The sequence below is a fragment of the Homo sapiens genome, chromosome 18, assembly GCF_000001405.40.
Source record: "Homo sapiens chromosome 18, GRCh38.p14 Primary Assembly".
Lineage (NCBI taxonomy): Eukaryota > Metazoa > Chordata > Mammalia > Primates > Hominidae > Homo > Homo sapiens.
In genome coordinates, this window is record NC_000018.10 from 55,451,156 (window position 1) to 55,478,089 (window position 26,934).

The 26,934-nt window shown below is 38.1% G+C and overlaps 1 protein-coding gene and 1 long non-coding RNA gene across 35 annotated transcripts in view; one reads left to right on the forward strand and one right to left on the reverse strand.

Moving 5' to 3' along the window:
* The window catches only part of TCF4 (transcription factor 4), a 413,773-nt gene that overhangs the window by 228,971 nt on the left and 157,868 nt on the right, over positions 1 to 26,934 (reverse strand). For all 34 annotated transcript variants that reach the window (NM_001243226.3, NM_001369584.1, NM_001369576.1 and 31 more), the window contains 2 exons: positions 12,921 to 12,982; positions 9,864 to 9,960 (listed from right to left, as the gene is read on the reverse strand). In NM_001243226.3, coding sequence (NP_001230155.2) covers positions 9,864 to 9,960; positions 12,921 to 12,982 — 159 coding nt within the window. The remainder of the gene's footprint in view (positions 1 to 9,863; positions 9,961 to 12,920; positions 12,983 to 26,934) is intronic.
* TCF4-AS1 (TCF4 antisense RNA 1) overlaps positions 1,378 to 26,934 on the forward strand; it is a 30,408-nt gene continuing 4,851 nt past the window's right edge. Inside the window, exon 1 of the long non-coding RNA NR_132985.1 lies at positions 1,378 to 1,555. This is a non-coding gene — a long non-coding RNA (TCF4 antisense RNA 1). The remainder of the gene's footprint in view (positions 1,556 to 26,934) is intronic.

Below are 26,934 nucleotides of genomic sequence, written 5' to 3' on the forward strand. Positions count from 1 at the left end.
GAAGGTATAGGTATTTTAAAATTGCTACCACCCAAAACCCCAAAGTCTATAGATTTTTCCATTCATTACCCAGACGAAAATGACAGATGACCAGTGGTTAGCCTTGCAATGCCCTAACAGTTACACAGCAGAGCACAGTGATTACAAAGTGTATCACATCACCACATCTTTCTCAGTGAGCCTGGGAGGGGTGGGCCAGGCTGGCATCCCTGTCCTCACCTGGGAAACCAGAAAACGGGGGCTCTGAGGAAATTTGCCCAATGTCCCATCACCCATCACTAGGAAGTGAAAAGCCAAGAATTATGCTGAAGTGACCCCTGAAGACCTAGAATCCACTGTCCCATGACACCCTGTAAGATGTGCACTGCTCAAAACAGCTCCTTTGCTTCTTTGGTTCTAAGAATATATAATGTGAACAAAGAAAGCAGTCTTATTTTTATTGAGGATGAATACAGCACTTAAGGTGGACACAGAAGTTTCAAGGATGTGAGGTTCAGGATTCCCTAACTATACTGATGTTATTCTCCTGAAGCCATGGAGTAATGAGAGGTTTGAGAAACACAAAGTGTTTAATCGCAACCCCGCCACCCAAGATCCAGTCCAGAAGTAGGGTACTGGTTAATACTGTCACAGACACATTTTAAGTATAGGGCTTATGCAAAATTCAGAGAAACCATCTTCCCAAGGAAAGACTTAGAGAATTGGCTGGGCACAGTGGCTCACACCTGTAATCCCAGAACTTTGGGAGGCTAAAGCGGGAGGATCACTTGAGCCTAGGTGTTTGAAGATGCAGTGAGCTATAATCATGTCACTGTACTCCAGCCTGGGTGACAGAGTGAGATTCTGTGTCTAAAAAGAAAGTAAGTAAATAAAAACATGAAAATAAATAAAAATGTAAAAACCTAGAGAAAAACTTTTTCTACTAAATAAAAGCAGCACTGTTTATTTCACATCCTGGTTACCTTTAATGATAGATGGTCCTTCCCCCTGCCTCTGTTCCAATGGGTCTGATTCATGACATGAGACTGTTCAATAGGGTTGGGAAACTTCTGGACAAAAGTTGGATCCAGCTCTCACCATTTCATCCAGTCTTGGCATGTTGTCTAAAACTAAATGTCTTTTGGCTGCACCTAATCCTCCACATTAAAAATCAACAACTGCAATTGTGTACATATTAAAAGAAAATAGAGGGTTTTCTCCCCTAGGCAGTAGGCATTCTTGTCTGACTGTTTCATGGTGACATGGCAGGTTGCTGGAGGTAAGTTCCCTGGAAACTGTTTGGGCAATGGTCCAGGAGAAAGATCTTTGTCTGTCACTTGTAGCAGCATGTCCCAGGGACGTGCTCCAGGGTGCCAGGCCTGCTCTGGATGGGTGCAGCAGGAGACACTGGGAGTAAAGCCTGGCCTTTGGCTCTGCCAAAGACCACCCAGGGGACTGGAGAAAAGAGTGGTTGGTGGCTGGAGCTACAGGCCTGTTGCGTGACAAGGGTGCCCTGGACAGGCTGGCAGAAAGTCAAGCCAGAGACCTAAAAGAGAAGGTCCTGGGGAAAGCAAAGGTAAGGAGAGCTGGCTTTGGCTGGTTGCTGCCTTGCTCAAGGGCTTAGGACAATGAAGACACAGGCCTTGAAGGTGAGATGCAAACAGCAGACCTCACGCTCCTTCCCATGCAAGACGCTCATGCCTGTACTTTCTCCATCTTCCTCTTTACAGTATCTTTTTTCCTACTCCATCTTCCTCTCTAATTTGCTGACCAGAAATTAGAGCTGAGACATCTTTTTATATATTTTTATTACATGAAAGTTAAGGCCTTGTTCTTAATTTTCAAAATTATTAAATAGAAAATTATATATTTTTCTCTTTAAAAAATTAAAGTGTGAATTGAACACTGCAAGTTAGTAAGCCCAGTATGAGTCCCAAACTTGCTTCTCTCCTGTCTATTTCCCAGGCTGCATTCCCAGCCCTGCCCCAACCTCTGCAGCTGGAGATGGCCTGGGTTATGGGGAAGCAGTGTGGTGGGGAGACACCACTCAACTCACCCTTCCCCTTCTTTCTGCATCAAACCTGAACTTGACACAAGAAGCTGTGACCCCCATCTTTAGACAATGAGGGGAAGGACAAAAGAATCACAGAGCCACCAGCCCTGACATCACTGAGCTGCAAACCACTTCCAGCAGGGACCTACCACCAGATTTCTAGAATGAGAAAAATTATTCTTAAGCCATCATTAGTCACATTTTCCATTACTTCGAAGCAAAAGCATTCCTACCTGATACAAATTGCTTTTTACTTTTATGTGAAGCTTAAATGATTTATCTTCTCTTTGGGTCAATAACTTTCTATGTGAGAAATCTTCCCCTGGTATTTAGAAGGTCTATACATCTCTGTTGGCCATAGTTTTCAAGTAACATTTTTCTGTTTAGAAATTCTTCTAAATGTTATACGACTTGGATTAGTAAACCTAGTTGGACTCTAAAAGTGTTTGAGGACCACAGCATTAGCTGTGCTATATCACAGAGTAGGCCGGAAAGGAAACAAGACCAATGAGAGAAGAATGGAAATGTCCTCTGACTGGACAAAAGGAAATCAGTTATCTTAGCTCAATACCAGAAACGCAACTTTTTTCAATGGCCTTTCAAATTATTTATAATAATAATAGTAATTATTATTATTATATAATTACAAAAATATAAATATAGTAATAAGTATTATTATTATTAGCAATGGGGTCTCTCTCTGTCACCCAGGCTGGAGTGCAAGTGCAGTGGCACAATCACAGCTCACTGTAGTGACCTCAACCTCCCAGCCTCCAGTAGTCCTTCCACCTCAGCCTCCTGAATGTCTGGGACCACTAGTGCATAAAACCACACCCAGCTAATTTTTTTATTATCTGTAGAAACAGGATCTCGCTATGTTGCCCAGGCTGGTCTCAAACACTTGGGCTCGAGCAATCCTTCCACCTTGGCCTCCCAAAGTGCTAGGATTACAGGCATGAGGCACTATGCCCGACCCAAAATATTATTGATTTTACTTATTTCCGCTTATATATAAAATAATCTGTGGTGTACTGAAAACTGAAACAGGCCACACTGTAATATGGCCCGTTTCCTATCTTGGCAGAATATTTTGCCCAGTCAAGGATATAGTCCTATAGAACAAAATGTGAATTTCTATATGACTGGCTCTGGTTTAGGGTCTTCTTCTTGGTACAGTAAGGTATAGGCCTAACTTTAATGTATGGGCTTTTCATTCAACGTTTAAACCCTATCTATCTAATTCCCTGATTCACTCGACAGTCATTTATTGAGGTCCTACAACCTCTATGCTAAATACTGATCTATGCACAGAACTTTTCTCCTGGTGACTCAACTTAATGAGTTATTATTTTATTTATCCCCAACCAATCCAATTCCTTAGCTATAGATCTGGAATCAGCTGAGATATAAAAGGAATATCTATTTTAGTTAGGCTTTAAAGAATTACATTTGGAAAACACATCACTGGCAAAGTCACTTGAAGGTATTCATAAAATAGAGATGAATGGATTAGAAAGAACAATAAAACATCTCCAAAGAGAAAATATAGTATAAGGATAAAATGACATATCAGAAAGATCAATGGACCATTAGATAATAAAATTATCTCAGAGATCACCTAAAGAGCTGTTCCTCCCTCAACCTAAAGATGTGAAAACGACCTGACCAGAGGACCCACAGGCAGCTGTAGCAAAACAGAATAGAAAACTCAATTCTTGGCTGGGCGTGGTGGCTCACGCCTGTAATCCCAGGGCTTTGGGAGACTGAAGCAGGCAGATCACTTCAGGTCAGGAGTTCAAGACCAGCCTGGCTAACATGGTAAAACCCCATCTCTACTAAAAATATAAAAATTAGCCAGATGTGGTGGTGTACACCTGTCGTCCCAGCTGCTCAGCAGGCTAAGGTGGGAGGCTCACCTGAGCCCAGGAAGTTGAGGCTTCAGAGATCATCCTACTGAACTCCAGTCTGGGCAACAGAGAGAGACTCTGTCTCAAAAAAAAAAAAAAAAAAAAAAAAGAAAAGAAAAAGAAGAAGGAGAAGTAGAAGAAGAAAGGAAGAAGTAGAAGAAAGAAAAACTGAGTTCTCCTGACTCCTGACTACCAGCCTTAGCTCAACAATCAAGATTGCTAAAAACACCAGCGATGAGGCTCAAACGAGTCATACTTGTTAATATTTCAGGAGGGCATTTTAAATTTAACATTAAAGAAATGAAAATTCCCAAAGTAAAATCAAATAAGACCACAATTAATAATTTCCTTTCTCAGAAATTACTTGTGCCACATTATAAGTCCAACACTTAAGAGTTGATGTCGAGATAACATCAAGCTGAAAGGTGTTATTGGAAAAAAAAAAAAAAAAAAGAAGCACACCAAGATGTCCCTAACTAATGAACTAGCAAAGGGGCCTGCTTGTATCACTACCTAATTTCGCTGCATTTAAAAAGTGAACTAAAATTTCTAGAGCTGACATCTATATTCACAGTTCCGTTCTTATGAAGTTACTAAAGATTATTTGACCTTTGGAACTTTCAAACATCAAATGATTGCCATTATTGTACAGGTTTTACTATTTTCTAATACTCACACTTCTGCAAAGAACAAAATATCTAACCATGAAGTCAGGTAACATCTCATTCGTGCTTTGAAAAATTATGTTTCTTTGTAGTCATGCTTTTCCTTTGTACATTAAGGCTTCCAAAAACACTTTTCCTAGTAAAAGCTGATTCATTGGTTATTCTCTGTTTTACAATGAAGAGTAAAACTCCCTGTATTAGCATGTACTCACATTTGCTGTTTTACAAGAAGACTGTGGCACCTGCTTCTGCCACTGGGATTTGAAAACACTCACAACACTTCACCTTTATGCTGGGCTAAACTCAGGGTAGCCATAAACACTCTGAAGTAATACAAACCTAAATATTCCTGCTAGGCAAACGGAGCGGTGGAACCGAATTATAATGAGCTAGCAGCTGTCACAATATGACCACAGTAACCAAATCAAAATATCAACCGCTAACCCAGATGAGATTCAAAGGTCATCCTGTAAGCCAGCAGCTTTCTTCAGTTCTGCCTGAAACCTCAATCTAATCCAGCAGAAAAATGTTCTGCTGAGCTAGGTTAGAACCCAGCTACCCTATGGCGGTAAATTATTTAATGCTCTGGGAGAGTACCATGAGTAGGACTAGAACCAAATACCACAGTAAGGAAACTGAACCATTCAAAATGGGCCATGTGAAAGCATAGCCCCGATGCTGAACTAAGCTGTAGCCAAATGTACAAAAGTATCGCTTTTCACACCCTTCAGTCACAAATGCATGTATGTAATTTTATGGGGCAACTTGCTCACTTATCCTCAATCTAGCTTTCAATCGATGCTCTGGAATAATAAAAGGAAAATGGAATGCTTAGCTCCTTCCTTGGAGCAAACAGTTTTAGCTAGAAAATATATTGTCTACCATTGTAAAAATATCTGGACAATTACCTGCAAAAGTTTAGTGCTTGACAAAGGAAAAAAAAGTTTTTTTTAATGTCCATATTCTTTCCATACACTTCTTGCCAGGATTCTCAAACTATTCCATAGCATATAAATAACCCTCTTAAAAAAACAGAGGAATTAGACTCATCGACCCTTTCTACCATTAGCATACTCTGAAAGGTATCCAATGGACCACCTAGGAAGGTTTCATCAAATTGTTTAAAAACTGCAATGAAGAAGTCTCCAATAGGTCCAGTGTACATTATAATCATTAATAATGATAGGCAGTCACAAGGAAGAAATGATTTATTTTCTCCAGATATAAAACAATGCATGGAATTTCAACTAAGGCAAAATGCAACCTGGCATGTATCTACACAATGAAAGCAACGAGTGAGTTCTTAGTAAATGTCAGGTAAAAGTATATGAATTGGTCAATGTAGGCAGTCAGTACTGACATCTCTCAACCCTGCCAACATCAAAACAAACACAAAGGCTATTCACACCTATTTAAAAAAAATTTAGGAGCTTGCTTTTTGTTTCTGTTAGTTAGGTTCTTCTTTAAAACACTTACAAGTATCAACCACTAAAACCCTGTATGACAACTATAACCACAGACAGGAATACAGAACAATCTTATAAACCAAGAAACGTCATTAAGTCTTCTAGCATGATACATACATTGTGTGTATGGGTGTACATGTGTGTGCATGCATGTATAACCACACATGGGTGTTTTATTTACTTTAGGGATTCACAAACTATCAAATAGTGCATTTTTCCACACACACAAGATTATTTCTAAAAGAATAAATTAAAACAAACATTTTATTACTTTTTTTTGAGATGGGATCTCACTTATTGCCCAGGTTGGGGTGCAATGGCATGATGTCAGCCCACTGCAACCTCCGCCCCCTGAGCTCAAGAGATCCTCCCTCCTTGGCCTCCCAAGTAGTTGGGACCACAGAAGTGTGCCACCACGCCTGGCTAAGTTTTTGTATTTTTGGTAGAGATGAGGTTTCACCATGTTGCCTAGGCTAAAACACTTTATTACTCTTATAATTTATATCCCACTTTGCATAAATGTGAAATAGAGACACAAATGAACTAAGTTTTGGAATTTCAGTGCCAAATAGAAGTATTATGTTTAAAAATCTGTAAAATGCAAAACCATTCATGTGAAATCAAGAAGTTCAGAGTTGTAATAATGGGTTTCATTACCATAGAGGTTATAAACAAATATACTAGCAATGCCTGTTATCATTTCCCTAAAATTGTATACTGCCATAAAGAACAAAATACATAATTAATGATAATCCACTCTCAAAAGGAAAGAGTAGTCCAGTACTTTTTTCTTTCTTTGCAATAAAATAAAACCTTACTAAATGAACAGTTCACCAAAAAAAGGAAAAAAAAAAATCAGGTCATCTGCAGTTAATAACTCTTTCCTATAAAATTAGTGTCACTTATTTCTGTAGCAGACGCCTAATTCAGTCACAGGCTTGATTGATTTGACAATAGAGAATCTGCTCCAATAAAGTGGCTGATTTATTTCTGATGCTATAGCTTTTACCCTGATGCGACATCACAGCAGAATTAAGCCTTTGAGACAGAAACAAATACTTTGTAGTTTTAACAAAAACCAGTTAAACATTCTGAAAGTGGAGACTGGAGTGTTGTCAAACACTTATGCTAAAGTCTACTACCTTCTTTTGGTAGAAGGAAAATATCCACAAAGGTCACAACATGGGCTCTGGGTCTGGACACAAAGTGCGGTTTAGAACACAGCATATATGCTATGAGTTCAAACTGTCCCCTACACCAATAGATCTTACTTTGTTTTTATTATCATTTGTAAATTAATTGTCGTTAATTTCTTGAAAATGATCTATCTTTTCTTTGTAAAGCTGTAACATAACACCAAATATGGCTCATCTGAAAAGTGGTTTCATTTTAAATAAACAGCAGCTTGGGCAAAATCAATGAGAATCTTTGTTCCCCGAATCTAGCCTTCAGATACGCAAGCCAATCAAGAAGGCATCGGGTGTGTGAGAAATTATAGCGATGGGAAGTTTTTAATGCAGCATAAGAGTCAATTCTCTTAAAAAAATTATTCTTCTCTAAACTAAAAATGTAAGGTATTTCATACTTGTTTCAATGTCTTTTTCTCCCTTTTCCATTTTTTTTGCATACCGCGCAATACCCTCTCGCTCTGAGGGTGACTTCCCTGACCCCAGTCTGACACTGCGCCGTTAATGTCAGATAAACCATTTAGCCCAAGCACAATTCTTTTCTGTGCAAAAATCTGCTCGAGGTGGAAAATGTAGCAGTTTGTAAACAATAAAGAGCCATGTTTCAAACCAGACAGCTTATCTAACAGAGAAGTCCTTTCACTGGGAACAGTGGGTGGGGGCCTCGTGGACATAGTAGCATTTCCTATCACAATGCAGGAGACTGTCTTGGTCTCCATATTTAAGAGTTTAATGGGAAGGAGGGCAGACAGGATAAAAGAGCAAAGCTGACATGGATTTGCAGCCTAAACAACAACTAAGTGAAAAGAATCAGCTCTCTCCGCTCTAGACTGTCAGGCCACTTATATTTTAAATACTATTTGGGTTGAAAAACTAATTTGATTTGTAAAGCAGTTGCCCATGAGGAAACATGAACAGAACAATCATTTAATCTGTTTGTACTGCTTGGTGTATTCTGTAATATTAATTTATCAAGTTGTTCTTTAGAGTTAAAACTTTTTTCACATAGATAACATAAGCGTCTCCCTATGAGTATTTATTTATTCTATTTTTCTTACTGTAGCTCATTGGAGGATCATTTTAGGATCCAAGGAAGTTAGTATATTATTTAGGTGCTACTTCTCAAGACTACATTTTCAAGTGAATCTTTTATTCTAAGTGGTTGTGTGGAGATGAATAGAGAAGCAAGGGTGTTAGAAATAAAATCATAACTATTGACACTGAAGAGTCAAAAGCTGCCTTTTAAAATCTAAGTTGATAAATATATCTGGTCACCTGTATCTACATATCCTGAGAACAAGAAACAATGCACCTTTCTATCAACAACTGATAAAGAACTGGGATTCCTGCTTGAGTTACAATGTTAAAACGTAAATATGAAATTTACTACTTTGAAGGCAAAAATAGCACAAAAATAAGAACATTCTATGACCAAAACCAACTTTGTGGTTCTCAAAGTTGGTAAGATACTCAAAGGCACGAACATATGATGTTACCCATTAAAAATAAGTTGCTAGTATTTATCTGCTTTGACTATTTTGTGTTAAATATCTGAAATCCATTTAGATGGATTTGATGGTGATTTTTCAAAGAATGCCTGAGATTCAAGGACCTGAAGTAACTGGTATAGCTTCCAAAGCTTAAAATCATGACATTCTTTAGAAGCATTTGCAGTTATGGTCTCAGAAAAATATAATCATCGCTGTGTGTGTTTCCTTGGAGTGTTGTCCAACAGATTGTACCAAGAAATTTAACTTCACTTATTGACAGATTCTCAAGAGAATTTGGCCAGGTTGAGAGATTTACTAATATTGTTAAGAACTCATGTTTACTAGAACAAAGATCTTTTTTTTTTTCAATCAAAACTAAAGTAGCCAGCTATTGGGACCTTTTAAGCCATTAGGAATCATCTTTTCATTGCTCAAGTTACTGCTGTTAAACAAACATCCCTACAGGGTAGCCAAAAGCAGAAAAACATGCTGAGGATGCCAGGATGAATGGCATGCCGGAGATTCACAGACAGCCTCAAACTAACAGGTAACTTGCTTTAATAAAGCAGGATGGGGTCTGCCTAGGCCATTAGCACTAAAGTTCATGCCTTGATAAATATACAATCAGATTTTACAATTCAACTTGAATGCACTACTCTGATTTAAGCACACTAAGCCCATTAACACCATTTATTTTCATAACCCCTTTAGCAGAAATCACAGTTAACACTGACTATATATCACTGCCAACCAACAAGCCCAGTGATATTTTTATTCTAAATATTCACCACTTTGACTTCATCTACCTTAACTTAGGAAACTACTGATACAACATTGAAACTGTGGTCCGTGCTTTAGGTCTAAGGAAAACAAAATTTCCACATAGATTCAGTATCACTAAAAGCATTTCATTCCATATGCTTGTAAAACTTAATCCTTAATGCACTATTACCAAACACAGACTGCCAATCCTCTCTGCAATTTAAGATTATTACAAGTGAACTGACTAAATATCCAAGTTTCTAAAAGCAGAACCTCTGTCTAGGACATGGTTTTACCTTCTATAGTAAAACTTGAGCATTCAAAAAGTGTAAGTTAATTTAAAATGGGTCTTACTTTGTATTCTGGAATTGACAAAAGGTGGAGAGAGATTGTCATGTGACCCAAGGTCCCTGCTGGTCATGTGGTCATAGGGAGTCCCATCTCCATAGTTCTGTAAATAAAATGACAGTGTAAGTTATTATTTTATATTAATAAACAGCACATAAACAAACATAGCTCCACTACCAAAACTTCTCCCCTCCAAAGAAATTGGAGTCCACTATTCCCTCCCTGGAACTTCACTAGAAGGAATCTGCACTTTCACAGGTATAGTGGCTAAAAGAAAGCTCTAGAGTCTACGAAGTCCAAATTTTCCTCATAATAGCTGAGAAATCTTAGGAATAATAATAATGGTATCAACTGCATGGAGTTGTTGACATGATTAAATAAAATAGTGTATGTAAGACACCAGACACATACAAAGTATATTGCTTATGTTAAAAATTATTATTTTAATAAGGCCACATTAAAGCAAAATTGTGCCACAAGGGAAAATTAGGCATAGCATGCAATGAATTGCTTTTCAAAGACCAAGATAGAGCCATTCAAACAATAACATTTGGTGTTAGGATACTGAAGTTTCAATGTTTTATTATAGTTACTATTGTGGTATTGTGGTTGTAAGAGAACTAGATTGTCACATAAGTAATTAACACATAAGAAAGTTAAGAATATTAGGGTTTAACTAGGATATGAACATCAAAACATTAGCATAAATTAGCATTTCTGGAGTTGGACAAAGCATGTCACAAAAAACAACCAGTTGTAAGGCAGACAAATTTTGACAGAAATATTTCATTATTACAATCAGCTTATTGTTTTAAGGGGAATTTAAAATTAAAACAATGTTCTTAAGCTGTCCAGTTACTTAATTTTAATGGGGAAATTTGATAACGCAATAGGAAAGAGTTAAAATCATCTATACTACATGGTTCAACTTTCAGTCTACTAAAGTGCATAAAGTGACCAAAAAGGGGGGAAAAAGTCATTCTGCTCAGCTGGTGGAACTGCCCATGAAAGTCTAAGTCAAATTTACTCAGAGGTATCGGTTGCATGTGAGCCAAAGGGCAAAATCTGCCCACACAAAAGAGAGGGCTGCTGCATGAACAAGGAAAAGACACATCCCCTCAACCTTAAGGAAAACTACCCCGTTCTCAATCACCTTTCCTCGTGTATAACAATTAACTTGCCTGATACTGTAATCTAATTCTGCCAACATGTCCATCTATAAAAAGAGGCTACATTTTAAATACCCATCATAGTACACTCACTCACTCTATACCAGGCATTGCATAATGCTAATTATCACTTATTAAGTGTCCTCATCCTAGATAGTGTACTAAAAGCTTAATATATATTATCTAATTTAATCCTCAGCACAGTGCTGTAAGGTAGACACTATCCCCATGTTAAGATGAAAAAAGAGAGACCTTGAAAGTACGCCTGGGTATAAATCTGCCACAAATGATTTGTCTCATGCAAACTTCTGGATTTAGAAAATATAAATTACACAAAATTGGTTTGAAATTATTCACCAATATATTCCTTGAGAAAAATGGCAGGACAGCTAACAAAAACCAAAAGCTAGTTAGTTTTAATCCTAAATTAAGATGATTCTAAACAGACCTTGTTTTCTGAAACACAATTAAAAGTACCATGTGTACTGAATGGATAAATCATAAGAAATTGTGAAAATCTGGATGAACTAAACAATTGAGGGGAGTTCTATGATCTCCACTTGCTGTCAAGGGGAATGGATTTATTTCTGCAAGTGCAGACTGTAACATGAGGAGGAGGAAAGATTTCCTCAACCCATCCATATAAAGCATTAGAATGTCAAGCTCGACAGCTGGTGTAAGGGCTCACAAAGTTACTGGTAAGCTTAGAGATCCTGCTGTACCCTGAACACTAGACTAAGGATCACAATGCCAAGGACAGGTGGAAATGTCTAGCTCTGACTTGCTGAAATGCCCTCATTTTGACAGCTTGATTACCTTCCCTGCCTCTTATGCCAAAATGGAACCTTCCCCCAACCCAAATTTGTGTGAACACTTACAGTAAAATGTTACCCTCCCTGCAGAATGCTTCATCTATATATATATAGCTGGTTGGGAAAGGAAGACATGCTGGTTTTACCATGTACACGAAGTGTACTTTTAATCTGGGGCATTGTATGTACATCATAAAAACTGACATGGATTTTAGAGGGCCTAGCAATGATTCAGTTAAAGAAATTTCATACAAAATCATGAATATTTAAACTGGAAGAAACACAGATGATCCTCTGGATCTACTTCCTCATTTTGCAAAATAAGAAAATGAGGACCCAAGAGGTGAAATGACATGCCCAAGATCATATACATACAAGAAACACGTATTGCTTAACCACCCACCCAACTCTTATTCCATGGTCTTCCTATTACATTCCTATTACATTATATTCCTTGGGTCTTCCCCAAGAAACAACCAATGCATGTAGGAAAACTGTGGAGAAGAATAGCAAAAAGTTGAGGGCAAATAAATGAATGATCCATCTAGTGATCAAAGTCCCTACTGGTGGAATGATAACATGTCTACATAGCGAAATCAACTCAGATTCAGTACGTAGATTATACTGGTAGGATAGAACTTCATAGTGTATCTTTGGGATTATTCAGTAGTCTATTCACACCAATACCTTATAGGGATATTAGGAATTTTTTTAAGTTTTTCCATCTACAACAAACAGCATTATGTAATATGGATCAATAACTGACAAAAGAAAGACCAAACATGTAACGAAGGAATTTTCTTCTGGTTAGCAGAAGTGGAACAGGTGTCAAATTGAATAACAGCATCCAATAAGAGAATGGGGGAAAAAAATTCCAAAGTCAAGCTGATCCTCATTAAACTTAGTATGCACATATATGCGTGTGTGTTTGTGTGCGTGTGCATGCCCATGCCTCTGTGTGTGTGTGTGTGTGTGTGTGTGTGTGAGAGAGAGAGAGAGAGAGAGAGAGAAACACACCTTCTGTTTGTCAATTTACATATGTGGGATGTCTGGTTGTGGGAGAAAAGATTAGATATACTTACCCTGGACGGGCTTGGATGTCCTCCATTCCCCCAGGACCCTGAGCTACTTCTGTCTTCTACATCTAGGGACAAGAGAAAAGTTCTTTAGGCTTTCTTGCAGTAATTTTTTCTTTTTGTATATGCACTTTCAAATTAATGTTTCAAATTAATCTCCTGTTGCCTTTAATTAAGAACCAGGCACCGGGCTACCATGATGATAGTGGCTTCTGACCCATCTACTTAAATTAACTCATTTAAATTCACAGTAGAAATGAACTGGACCCTCAGGAACCAGAGGTATAAACATAAAAATTACTTCCATCCTTCACAGTGTTTGATAGCCTCAGTCTTTATAGATGTGAAACTGTACTTAAAGTTTTATTACAATCTTTTGGATAAAATAAGTTTAAAAATGCACTAACATAACTTTAATGCAAAAAAAGTTAAATTAAGGTAAATATCCACACTAACACCTTTAGCATCCTCGCCATAATGCTCTTGGATCCTTTTTGTTCCATAGCCCAGGCTTATCACAGAAGACACCAGACATGCAACAGAAAATGAGACTGAGAAAGTATTCAGTAGTCTATTTCCACCAGCACATTACAGGGATATTAGGACTGAAACAAAACTTTTTTTTAGGTTAAGACAATACTGTCTCTGTCTTTCCTTTTTTTTTTAAACTAGACATACCATTTGGTCTATAATCCTTAATCTGGGTTTTGATATGTGGAAATGAATGTGGTTATTCCATTATAAAGCAATGTTTTGTTTTGATAGATGACAGTGAAAAGACCTACATGAACCATCGAAAAGTTGGAATTCTAAACTCAATACCAGCAAAGTTTTAATGCTGAGTAGATTACGAAATGTTCCATCCACGCTCCAAATGGCAAATACGCAGGATGGAAAGTCTAACAGCTAAGTTACCATATTAATTGCTTAAAACATAAAAGTGTTTTAAAGATCAGTTGCTCTATATTTAGAAATGGCTGTGAGATTTTTGATGAAAGGGCCTTCATAAGTATAAAAAGTTTCACTGTTATATTATTTTGATCACGGCTGATAACAGACGGCCATCACAAACACCCTCTGACAGAAGTGGAGGAGGAAGTGTGAAACTAAGGTTCAGGAGACACAATCCCATTTATTGTGTTTCCTCACATTTCAGTGATACTGTTTATTCTCTTAATGCTCTACTGTCATTCCTTTTATTATTACTGCTATTTTATTATCAGCAGAAGTAATCATAGTATAATTAATTTATTTATTTTGGGATACAGTAGAGTACATGGTGTTTCAGAATATCTTAAGAGATAGAAAAGCAACAACAACTAAGTTATTACCATTAAATTAACTTCTCTTTTTTTTTTTAATGACAAATATTATTTCACTTCCTTTTAGTTGGTGCTTCAGCAGATAACACAAACTGCAAACAGATGTCCCCTATGGACAGTTTAAATCAGTGCACTGTGAGCTTCAAGGCATGTCAAGAAAGCTCTCGGGACTGCACCAAGCCTAGAGAAAAGGTGTAAAACCTTCCCCAGATCTGCTGTTTAACAATCCAACATGCTGGCCTATCCTGTATATGTTGAACTGAAGCACACAAAGAAGCTACTTACAACCCTCTGGGATTCGCACATAAATAAATTTTGTAGCCTACACGGTTCTCTTAATTCTTAAACAAAAACCAAATATTTTCAGCCAAAATAAAAAGTGTATAAATAACAAAATCTCTCAACCACTGCAAGCTTTTAAAAGTCTGGCGCATCTTGACTTTCTTTTCACCTATAACAGCCAGCTTGGATTCATTTGAGAGATTTCTCCTCTTGAATTTGGCCAAAAAGTAATGGAGGAACAGATTTGAATCCCTATAAGTACCATAAGATTTCAAATTGTTTGGACTCATTTTATCTTTTCAATTTTAAAAGAGGATTTTAAACATGAAAAGTAGGCAGAGACTTGGAGGAAAGAGGACGCTACTGCCAGGTCAGTGGGGCTTTTGCATCCCAAAGGACATTTGGCAAAGCCACCCAGGAGACAGTTTTGGTTGTCACAATTTGGGTGTTGCTAGTGGCATTGATCACACAGAGGCCAAGAGTTGCTATTAAATATCTCATAATTGCACAAAACAGCTCTCCACAGTAAGAAATACCCTGTGCAGGGCACAGCAGCTCACACCTGTGATACCAGCACGTTGGGAGGCTGAAGCAGAAGGATTGCTTGAGGCCAGGAGTTTGAGACCAGCCTGGGAAACACGGCAAGATTCTGTCGCTACAAAAATTTTTAAAATTAGCCAAGTGTGGTGGAACTTGCCTGTAGTCCTAGCTAATTGGAGGGGCCGAGGCAGGAAGATCCCTTGAGCCCAGGAGTTCAAGGTTACAGTGAACTACGATTGTGCCACTGCACTCCAACCTAGGCAACTGAGTGAGACCCTGTCCCTAAAAATATATATATATATTTTTGGTGTTCTGACCCCAAATAAAAATTGTGTTGAGATTGAGAAGCCCTGTGCTAGAGCAAAAGGAATCAAGTTGGAGAAAAGATGTATTAAAATTTGATTTATAATTTAGTAAGAACTCTTATTAAATACACAGTTTTTCTTATGCACTTTAAGCTAGACTTGAGCTGGAATGTACCAAGAGACCTTCATATACATCTTCTGTCCACAGAAAAAAGGAAAAGTAATGGTCAACCAAGCAGCCTGCTAATTAGCAGGCAGATAAAACACATCAACACTTGAGTATTCCCAACTGGGCAATTTCAAAAGCGAGCAATCCACTAATTAAAAATGCTGGAAGTCTAGCTTTTTCAAAGCAGGTTAAATACTGGCTGGGTTCCTTCACAAATAGATTCCTGACCAATCGGATCTGACTGCTCTTTTTCCACCCTTTCCCATTTCCATCTTTCCCACTTCCTGACCTCACGCTGCTGCACCTTTCTTTCTTTGATTGCTCTCTGTTGAACAGGCTTCCCCTTCCCTTGGTCTCCTGCTGGATCTCAAGGATGAGGACAAATCACTAGCTCTCCCAAACCTAATAAATAGAATAATCATATGAATTCTAATTATATTTTACCTTTGAAAAAAATCTATAGGACCGGTGCTCATTTATCCATATCCATAGAAGACACTATAAACTAGTGTTTCCATAGCATGCGCAATGGTAATTCATAATGAATGTAAACATGTTACTTTGAAGTCATTTTCTTCCATCTTCCCTCTCCTTGAACTTTGTCAGGCCTGCCCCTTAGTTAGCATTTCCTCAATAACTATTCCAGTGCACCACCAAGTGCATTTCAAAGTGTATCCGCCACCTGAATCACCTGTATGCCCATTTTTAAATTGGCTTATTAGGGTCCGTCTCATATCTACTCAGTCTGAAACTCTGGGGGTGGGGCTGAGAAAACTGTTTTTAACAGGTCCCCAGGTAACTTTTATGCACACAGGAGTTTGAGAACCACAGGACTACTCCACTGTAACACAAGACAAATGCATGCCCCACACCACCAACAGCAGCCTCTCTCACTCCATATCTTAAAATTGCTGTCTGGGTTGCTGGTTTCAGCAGCATTCACTATACACCTCCATCACATGAGCATCCAAGAAGTTCTTGTCCAGACTCATTTTCATGTAAACCTTGCACAGGGCCTACACCTGGCCATTCCTTACTCCTGCTAGGGTACCAGGACACTGCACGGTCTTTTATACCACCATGTTTTTGTAACTGCTATTCCTTCTGCCTAAACTGTTCCTCACCTCTCAAAGAAAGAGTAACAGCTCACATGTGGTGAGCTTGAATGTATGTCAGACACTGCGCTAAACTCTCAAATGCCTTACTAGTATTCTGGTTTTATATATCTGAACTGAGGCTCAGATGGGTTAGAAAACTTGCCCAAGGGATCAGGAAATGGCAGAGCTTGGACACAAAAGGAGGCTGAAGCTCTGCCCACTGCTGTAAAGACTCCCCAGTAAGAATGTCACATCTCTGTCTAACCAGCTGAACGTTCCCTCCTGTCACTTCTCCCCACGCAGAGTGAATATATTTATTTGGGAGTTTATACCCAACTCTTGTGTCCACAAAAGATTACAGAAACACATACAACACAAAATATACGAAATCAATATTTGAAGGACCCAAGTGACTGCAAAATAAAAGTAGCAGAACAGTAAGGCCAGAGGTATGATGAGTTTATCAAAATGCACACAGTGAAGGACTGGCTATTTGCTAGAAGTGGGTCAAAACTTTAGAAGCTATTAAGTAGACAAAGCAGAGAGGGAAACAAGATTGACAATAACCATCAGATAAAAACACACAAAGTGTCCAGGAGAAGCATACCTAATCCTGGTATTAAGCCAGACAGAAAATATCTGTGAGCTCCCAACACAGAGGACAGAATATCCCATAGCAGCCCATAGTATCAACAGTAGGCACAATGATAAAACTTGTATGGCTGGCTCAATACGATAGTTCAGCAAGTACACAGAATTTATTATCCAAATAACCATGTGAATATATATACAGCTATAGAGCTATATACTTATATCATACCCAACTGTGATGTACGTTTATTATAGGAAAGAAACATACTTGACACAAATAACATCTTGTGTGGTACTGTACAATGGTGGGCTCATTAGTTCTTTATTGAAATGAGTTAAAACAGCAGAAAGTGAAAAGTAAGATAATATTGTGGTATGAGAAGTGTTTACATCTAGAGGTGAGACTAAACAATATACAGGAAATAGATGTGTGAAATCCATTAAGGCAACATAGTGACAAATGAAAAACTGCCTGGGATGAAGCTGCTGAATCTATTTAGTTCTCGCCCCCCCCCCCCTTGTTCTATTGCCACCCTTTTTCCAAGATGGGAGAATAAAGAGAAAGATATTACCCCGGGCAAAAAGAAAGGAAGAAAGCAAGTAGATGATAGAAATTCCTGTTCCAAAAGACTGAAATGGGCTCAGTTCAAGATTTTTCTAATTTCTTATTTTACCCTAAACCAAGATAGATTTAGTAACTCTTCCATGGGATTGCTGGCTGCTTTAGGAGGCAATCTGAAAATCCACAAATTTTCATCTTATTTGATTCATTCTGCATGAGTCCCCTCTACAGTGTCTGACACATTGGTCGGGTGCAATGGCTCATGCCTGTAATCCCAGCACTTTGAGATGCCGAGGCGGGCAGATCAGCTGAGGTCAGGAGTTTGAAGCCAGCCTGGCCAAAATGGTGAGACCCCATCTCTACTGAACATACAAAAATTAGCTGGGCCTGGTGGTGGACGCCTGTAATCCCAGCTACTCAGGAGGCTGAGGCAGGAGAACTGCTTGAACCCAGGAGGTGGAGGTTGCCGCGAGCCAAGATCGAGCCACTGTACTCCAGCCTGGGTGACAGAGCGAGACTGTCTCAAAAAAAAAAATAATAAATAAAGTATTTGACAGATCAGTGCCAAAACACAACAGTTTGGGCAGAACTATGACCAAACACTCTATTTAGGGGAAAGATGTTCAGACATAATTCTTACCTTCTGCGATTTCCCATCCACATTCATTACACTTGTAATCCGATTACTCAAAGCTCCACTTTGCTCTTGTGGTCAGCAAGATCAAAACTATCAGACAGACTAGACAAACTTTAGAAAACACAGCACTGGGAGTTGGGATAAAGAGCTGGATTTCAGCAGGGACTCTGCAGTGACCAGTTCTCTGGTCTGAGCAAGTCACTGGCCTCTCCGTACTCATTTTTGTGAACTACGAAATAAGCAAGTTTGATTTCCATTCTTGGAAATAGGGCAGGCTAGTATATTTGGACAACTCTCCCACAGAAAACTAAAAATGATGGATAACAGTTTTTTGAAAAATTTTAAAATACTGAGCAGACAAGATAACAAGGAATCAGGGAGCCAAAATCAAAGTGAAGGCTGGAACCCAGGGAAGAAGAAAACACATTTTTTGCCCTGGGGACATCTGTCAGCCTTGAAAATGTAATGGCCTCTTGAGTCAAGGAGAACAGAAGTGAAAACCCAAGACATACCCCAAAGTCAGTATTCTAACAGAAGATAAGGGGATGATAGTATTTGCAAGATTAAGGAGTTATTGTTAAAGTAAATGAATTAACTAACATTTGTTAAACACTTAGGAAAGTACTTGATCCGTAGTAAATATCTACCATAGTCACCAGTATTTATCATGAGTGCCTAATTTAATAATACCCTCCAATATCTAAGAAAATCTGAGCCTTACATTTTTATGACTCCTTGTTCTGCTAAACAGGTCAGTGATTTTTAAATACTCTCCTGGATCTTAGAAACACCCAAAACGTTTAGGTTAAACAATCCTACCTTCTCCGTGACCCTGTATAACACTATCAGAGTAAGAATTCAGTAAGCATTAGATTTATTCAGTGGCTTAGTTTACCATTAGAGTATTCTCTTTATATCTCAGTGTACTTCTATGTGTAATACACAAATGACATGTTGTCAGAAGTTATGTATGCTGATCAGAGTCCCAAGCTAAGAACACAGACTAAATACCATGTAACTTTCAGCTTGATTTGAAATAAACAAGTATGAAAGTTACCTAGATTGATTTGACGTAGAGCTGTGTAGTTGTCCTTTCTATACTCTGAGCCTACAACATGCCAATCACCCAGGACCCTAGAGTTTTATGAAATTAGAAAAATGCCTGAAATGGTATTTTGCATTGCTCTAAGTCTACAGATTCCTGCTCTTGTGGAAATATATTGATTTCTTAATAAAAATTTCAACACATTCAGAATGCGTTCAGAGATAGGATGTCAAGTTCTTCCAGGAAAGATAATCATTCTGAAACACAATGAAGTCTACACTGCCTCAAAACCTTCTTCCTGCAACAACAGACACTATTAAATATCCTCTACACCATTATGGAGACTCACAGACTGCGTACATCTGTGGCTCCTACTAATTTCCTAGTCCAGGAAGAACCCTTGGCTGAGCCCTCACACAAACTGAGATGGCATATGCTCTCCGTCAGTGCCAGATGAATTTAGAGTTCAAAATATTTCATCAGCAAAGAGCGTGTTAAGGATGTGCACATTTTCATTAGCACCCAGTATAATAAGAGCTCTAAGTAGAGTAATTTGAAGTCAAATTTGAGTACTATTACAGACATAGGAAGAGTTGAGGAGATTCAAATATTGACAGATGATGTCCACACAAGCATGATTGTTTCTGTTTTCTATTAGACATAAGAAATGGTGCTTCAGAATGAGTGATCTGGGCACTAACAAGAAACTCGACAAGAAGCTTCCAGCACTTCCCAAATCTGACTAAGCAAAGGATGAGGGTTGTGTCAATGCTTCCCACACAAATGTTAAGATGTGTCAGGCCAGGTGCGATGGCTCACGCCTATAATCCCAGCACTTTGGGAAGCCGAGGCAGGTGGATTATGATTTGATTACTCAAAGCTCTACTTTGCTTATGTGGACAGCAATCAAAACTATCAGACTAGAAAAAGTGAGGCCAAGAGTTCGAGATCAGCCTGGGCAACATGGTAAAACCCATCTCTACTAAAAACACAAAAATTAGCTGGGCATGGTGGTGCACACTTGTAGTCCCAGCTACTCAAGAGGCTGAGGCACTAGAATCACATGAACCCAGAAGATGGAGGCTGCAGTGATCCAAGATTGTGCCACTGCACTCCAGCCTCGGTGACTGAGCAAGACTCTGTCTCAAAAAAAAAAAAAAAAGATAAGTCAAATATAAAGAATACAGACCTGGGCTTTCCATTTTCAGATGACTGCTGTCAACCCTGGCTTTCTCAGAGCTAATGGATTTCCTAACCAAATAAATCTGAAACTCAAAGGTCAAGCATGAGATCATCTTAGAGTATTTTTCATATGATAAGAAAAGTTAAAGGGTAGATATGCTGGTGAGAAAGTATAGTAGGAAAAAAGTGTTCGCAGACAATTACTGCAATATTTTAGCCTTAATTAACATCCAACTTAAACTTCCATTAATAAGTCCTTTAAAACAGTATTATTTTCCTTAAGTTCAAAATAACCTGTTTTTCAAAAATGAACACTACATTTCTGCTGCTTAAGATATGGAGTTAATTCCATTGTGTGCTGTCATAAACAGGGAAAGCATCTTCCTATAACATAAAATTCAGATAATGAGAAAGTAACAAAATGAAGTGGGTAACTGTTATGTTACAAATATGTCAGTGGTGTTCCTTATATTGAAACTCAGAAATCTTTTTGAAGCTCAAGGTGGTAAACAGTTACATTATGCAACTGAACCAAACGTACATTGAAGCCTTTATATTAATTTATATATTTGGAGGTGTCAACGATCATCTAACTTGAATTATACCCTAGCTTGAATATATAATGTGAAATGCTGAGAGATGAGTGCCATTTAGCAACCTTTCAAGTGTATGGGACTGGCTAGCTGGGGTCTTCCTCTTGAAGAGAAGTTAGTCGTTTGGGGATCCTACCTTTTAAAGCAATATCCTACAAATAAGAGCCATGAATAACTCAAGCAAGAGTATAACGTGAACTATATATACCTTCTTTGACTTTTCGAAATGTGACCAATCTAAAAGCACTTAAAAATCAGTCTTAACTAAGACAGTTTTCTTGGAGAGTAAACATTGTGAATTGCGTGAGAATAACAATTGGAAGTAAGTTACCATATCTGAAGACTTTGAAAAAAAAATCAAAGTACCATCTAACTTCAACATTACACAGATAAGTTTCAAAGTACTTAAATAAATGTGAAAATATTGCAAGGAAGTTTTTAAGTAGGTGTTTGGCACCTCCTAAAGACATATCACCTTCTAAAGATATATCACAGAGTGCAAGAAATAAAAGGTAGATACTTTAGAAAACAAAGTGTTAAACAACTAAGGAATACATTTAAGAATATGCTTCATTTCCTAATAAAACTGAATATATACCTCTGATAATGTCTACATGTAATTACGTGTGTATTTTTCAAACCATACATGTAATATTTATAGTGCAAAATCCATAATATTGTAATGACTTCAGATATACAAACTGGTATTTAAAATGCCTATTTGGTAAATAATTTATTGAATTTATTCTTGGGAGAGGTTAGCCAACATGAAACATGGAACTGTTTCCTCTTTTCTTCTTTTCTTTCCTGATACCTCTTTTCTCCCGAGGGTGCCATTTGTGAGGTTCTGAGAAGGGGAGGCTGGCTTAATTGAAATATCTGTAGGCTGTAATTGCTCTGCCTAACCACAATGGTCTACTTCTCCCAAACGGCATTCTTTCCTCTTGCTTTCTCCTTTTTCTTCTATTTCCTTTTATACTTTAACAAAATCTACTTCTCCTGTTTGTTTTATTGTCATTTCCTATTCCAGATGCTTGACTAATATTGGTGAAGTCAATAGTTTTACATATTCAAAACTCCTCCCTAAAATCCAGTTTTCCACCACAACCCCTTTTGCTTAAAATACTCACTCCCATAAACTGATTTTCATTTTACCCTTTCAACATGGCAATCCTTCCACCTATGTTTAACACTGCAGCCTATGACCTGGCAATGACAAATGATCAATCTTGCATGTTATCTTCAGGGGTCATGTCTTAGTTTTAGGCCAATTTTCTCTGTACTTAGGCTCAAATGTGCAAACCACACTATATTACTCTGCAAAACATCAATGAGAAGGCTTAATTAAGTAACACTGACAGATAAATCCATTTCTTTCATAGTAATCAAATCAAAGCAGGTTGACATAACACAGGAACTTAATGCAGTTATTCCCTTGTAATTGGAAAAAGGCCCTTTACTTCTCATTAAAGCAATCTTCTGGGTACTGGCATAATAAGGAGGCTCAGAGCTTTAATACTGCCCTATAAAAGTCTCAAGATACAGACCCCTTAAGCAAACAAGCCAGATTATCTAATTCCTTGATCACAGCAGAACACGCAGTTCCTACTGTTTTAAACTACTAATTCTTTATCTCTCCTACAATTAAAAAGAGGTAAATTAGTATCAAACACATATAATGAAAATCTGTAAAAATGCATAAACTGTTTACAGTTGTATAAATCTACCTCCACATGTATTTGAAGGGAAGCAGTCTATTAAAATGAATTTGAAATACTTTACACATCTGAAATTGTAATAGCTTGGATCACGGGAAAATCTATTTTACTCCATGGGCTCAATAGGACATGTATTGCCTAAATTTACAGTGTGATACTTAACCATACAGTACAACCTTGTTCATCAGAATTGTAAGAGAATGAAAGTTTTAGTAAAGCATTTAATTTTTGTGGTACGAAAAAAATATTAAGTCATCCGGTCAACTGTAGGCTGCTCTTATTCATCTAAACTCCAGAAAAAATGCGACAATATTATACCATGTTCATATCCCCAAACTAAATAAAATAAATTTCCACTCTTTCAATTCCAATTTTGAGGGTGTTTCTATTACTTATTTATTGGTACCTGACCAATCTTGAAATGATTCCAGCAACTCTTTCTAAAAGGATAATTTATAATCTAGGCACTACATGGTGATCTCCAAATGGTGGCTGACCACCCAAATACTCCAAGGAACCTCATAAAAAACACAGATATCCTAACCCCACCTGGGAACTGATCAAGAAAAGATCAAGGGTTGAAGTCAAGGAAAATGTATAATTTTTTCATTCTTCCCATATTTTACATTTTTATTTTTTTTAAGTTTTGGGGTTTTTGTTTGTTTTGTTTGTTTGTTTTTGAGACAGGGTCTCGTTCTGTCACACAGGCTGGAGTCCAGTGGCACAAACACAGCTCACCACAGCCGCAACCTCCTAGGCTTAGGAGATCCTCCCAATTCAGCCTCCCAAGTAGCTGGGACTGCCACACCAGGCTAATTTTAAAAGTTTTCAATTACAGTGCAGTTATAATTATATAATATGTTGCTTCTGAACCATGTGTAAGTTGCATCAATTATATCCTTTTGCACCTTAGTACTTCTGTGTGCACTTCCTAAGAACAAAAACAGTACTATTATCAAAATCAGAAAATATACTGTGGGTACTTAGATCCAATCCATAATCCATATTCCAATAGGGAACTTCCTCCCTCTCCGGTAGAAGACAAAGTCCAGGATCATGCACTGCACTGAATTGTCTATCTCTTTTATCCATTTGAATCAGACATAATTCCTCAGCCTTTTCCTTCTGTGATATTAGAATTTTGGAAGAATACAGGCCAGTTATTTTATGGAAATGTTTCTCAATTTGGGAGGATCAGATGCTTCCTCATGATTATATTCCAGTGGATATAATACTACAATAGTGGTCTGGTGTCCTTCCCAGGACATCACTTCCAGAGCCCCTTGATGGCATGTTGGTCTGCCCCTCATGTGCTATGCCAATTTTGATCACCTGGTCAAAGTGGCATGCAAATTCTGCAATGTATGATTATAATTTGTCCCTGTTGAACTAATCAGTAACCTATGGAAAGATTCGTTAAGAACATTCAAACTAATTTTTAAGTATGTGCTTATTGAAAAAAATTAAAATACAAAAATGTATAAGGTAAAAAGTGATAATGCCCTCAAGTCTCACTTGTACCACTCTTAGACAAGCGATAACCCATCACAGCTTCCTATTTCCTTACATATCTTCACGTCTCTGATCAACTGGTTTTGACAGCCGCAGAAATGTAGGGCAATAAATGCTAAACTTGACTGAAGTTTCTGTTCTATTTGAATTGGTAAGAAATATTCTTCAATCGTTGATCATCTAGTGACATTTCAATGGAGACAATGATTAGTTGTAGCCCTGTGACCTAGGTGGGAGTGGGGAGGGCAGGAACAAGAATATATTTAGGCATATTTTACTATTAATTTTGAAGGAATTTGGCCAAGATGAAGACAAGATGGACTGATCCACTTGTGAATTAATGCAATGTATAAAGGCAAGTTAAAGAATCAGTTTTGGAGCCATGCTATCCTAACAGGCTATTTGGTGCCTCCTCCCACCACATTCTGTAAACCACTGTGTAAAAAGGAGACCTGCCATTTCAGAGGCACTTCCCAATTAAATTCAAATGCAGAGACAAGCATACTCATGACACAGAAAAATTTAGTGTGGTTTCCATGGGCTGACGTACAAAAAAAAAAATTGGAAACATCTAAAATATTTTAGAAGGGGGAGATAAGTTGAGTTGCCACTTTTAAAAGAATATATTCCCACATTTAGAGAGCAGGTATACAAATGAACTAGCCACCTCACAAAGTGAAGAGTGAAGGGTGACCCCAAAAAAGACTGTGAGAGGAACTTTGCCATTCAATACAGCATAAGCATACCATACAATATTGAGTGAGTTAACTTGTTATAATCAATATAAGGTAGAAACAGTCCCTTTAACCTTTAGATGAAGCCCTCGTTGTTTTTTTGTTTTTTGTTTTTTGTTTTTGTTTTTTTTTGAGATGGGGTCCTGCTCTTCATCTAGGGTATATGTAGTGCAGTGGTGCGATCAGGGCTCGCTGCAACCTCAACCTCCCAGACTCAAGCAATCCTCCCACCTCACCCTCCTGAGTAGCTGGGACCACAGGCACACACCACCACACCCAGTGAATTTTTTGTAGAGACAGGGTCTCACTATGTTGCTCAGGTTGATCTCCGACTCCTGGGCTCAGGCAATCCTCCCACCTCAGCCTCCCAAAATGCTGGGATTATAGGCGTGAGCCACCATGCCCAGCCTACAGCCCTTGTCATTTTATAAACTGAACAGTGCTGACATATTTCAACTGTGATTTATAAAGGCTGAGAAAATGTTCCTCACAATTCCACTTCAGCCAAATGCCTGGCAGACATTGGCAAAGGTTTCTCTTACTTGGGCTTATAAATGTGTGTGTGCATGTGTGTGCATGTGCCTGTGTGTGTAAAATCAGCATACACACACACACGATACACAAACTTGCATTTCCTAATAGTTTCTTGATATCAATGATGGTGTTTAAAACAGTTCCCATATGTTACAACTTGTTCAAATGATACCTCCTTATTTTCTATGAAATTGGTCAGAGGAGTCTGACTGGTCATTTGGTCTCACGATAATGTAACCACAATTTTTAATTATGCTTTCTGCTTCCTATTTTTTATATACTCATCTCATTTAAAATGCAATATCTGGGATCATTTAAAGTATAAAATTGGGATCAAGAGAAGTTACCTACCTAAACACGAGCAGACTAAAATCATTTTTCAAAAGAGGAAAAAACAAAAATCACAAGAAAATTGGTAGATGCCCTATATAAAAGAGGCTATTTTGCATAAGACATACTTTCACCCTTTCATGCTATTACGATTACCTGTTTAATTCTAACAGAGAATAGAATACTTGCTAATGTTCACAAGGAATACTTGCTGAAAGAAGAAAGGTGTACGGTGTTATAATGACTGAGTTTTCACAGCTAGCAACGTACATTTTTAAACCATGTCAGCAATGAAAACAAAACTGTGAGTCTCCCCTCTGTGTGTCCTTTTTCACAGGGCAGTGCCCAGGCATACTGCAACACCATTTCACCACCAGGGCACACGCAGTTGCCATCAGTTTAAGAAACGCCCAGGACTTTGCTAGCAGGACAGGTCTATGACGGAAAAATGGACCAAGGTTTCCTCTAAACCATGCTGCTTCCCTTACTTTCACTTTCAGGTTCTATAAAACATGTTCACTACTGAAGTAGTGAAAATACATCTGCCTTACTTTACTAGTCCAGCTGAAAGAGATGAGAACGCATCAACTGATGATTTCTTAGGTTTAATCACATCAAATTCCTGGGAATAGGCATTTTTGGTTCTAGTAGGTCTGCAACTTGGATGCATCCTGCCTTTTGCCCATCTGATAACTAGTGGAATACCGGTCAGAAAGAGATGAGCTGCTCTGAGGTACTGGTCTTACCAATTCAGTAAGTGGAATGGTAAAAAGCTGTAACTCTTCCTCAGGAATGGAAGATATGTCATTAGTGTGAAAGGAGATAGAGGCAAAGACCTGAAGAATGACGATAACCAGACATCTTGAG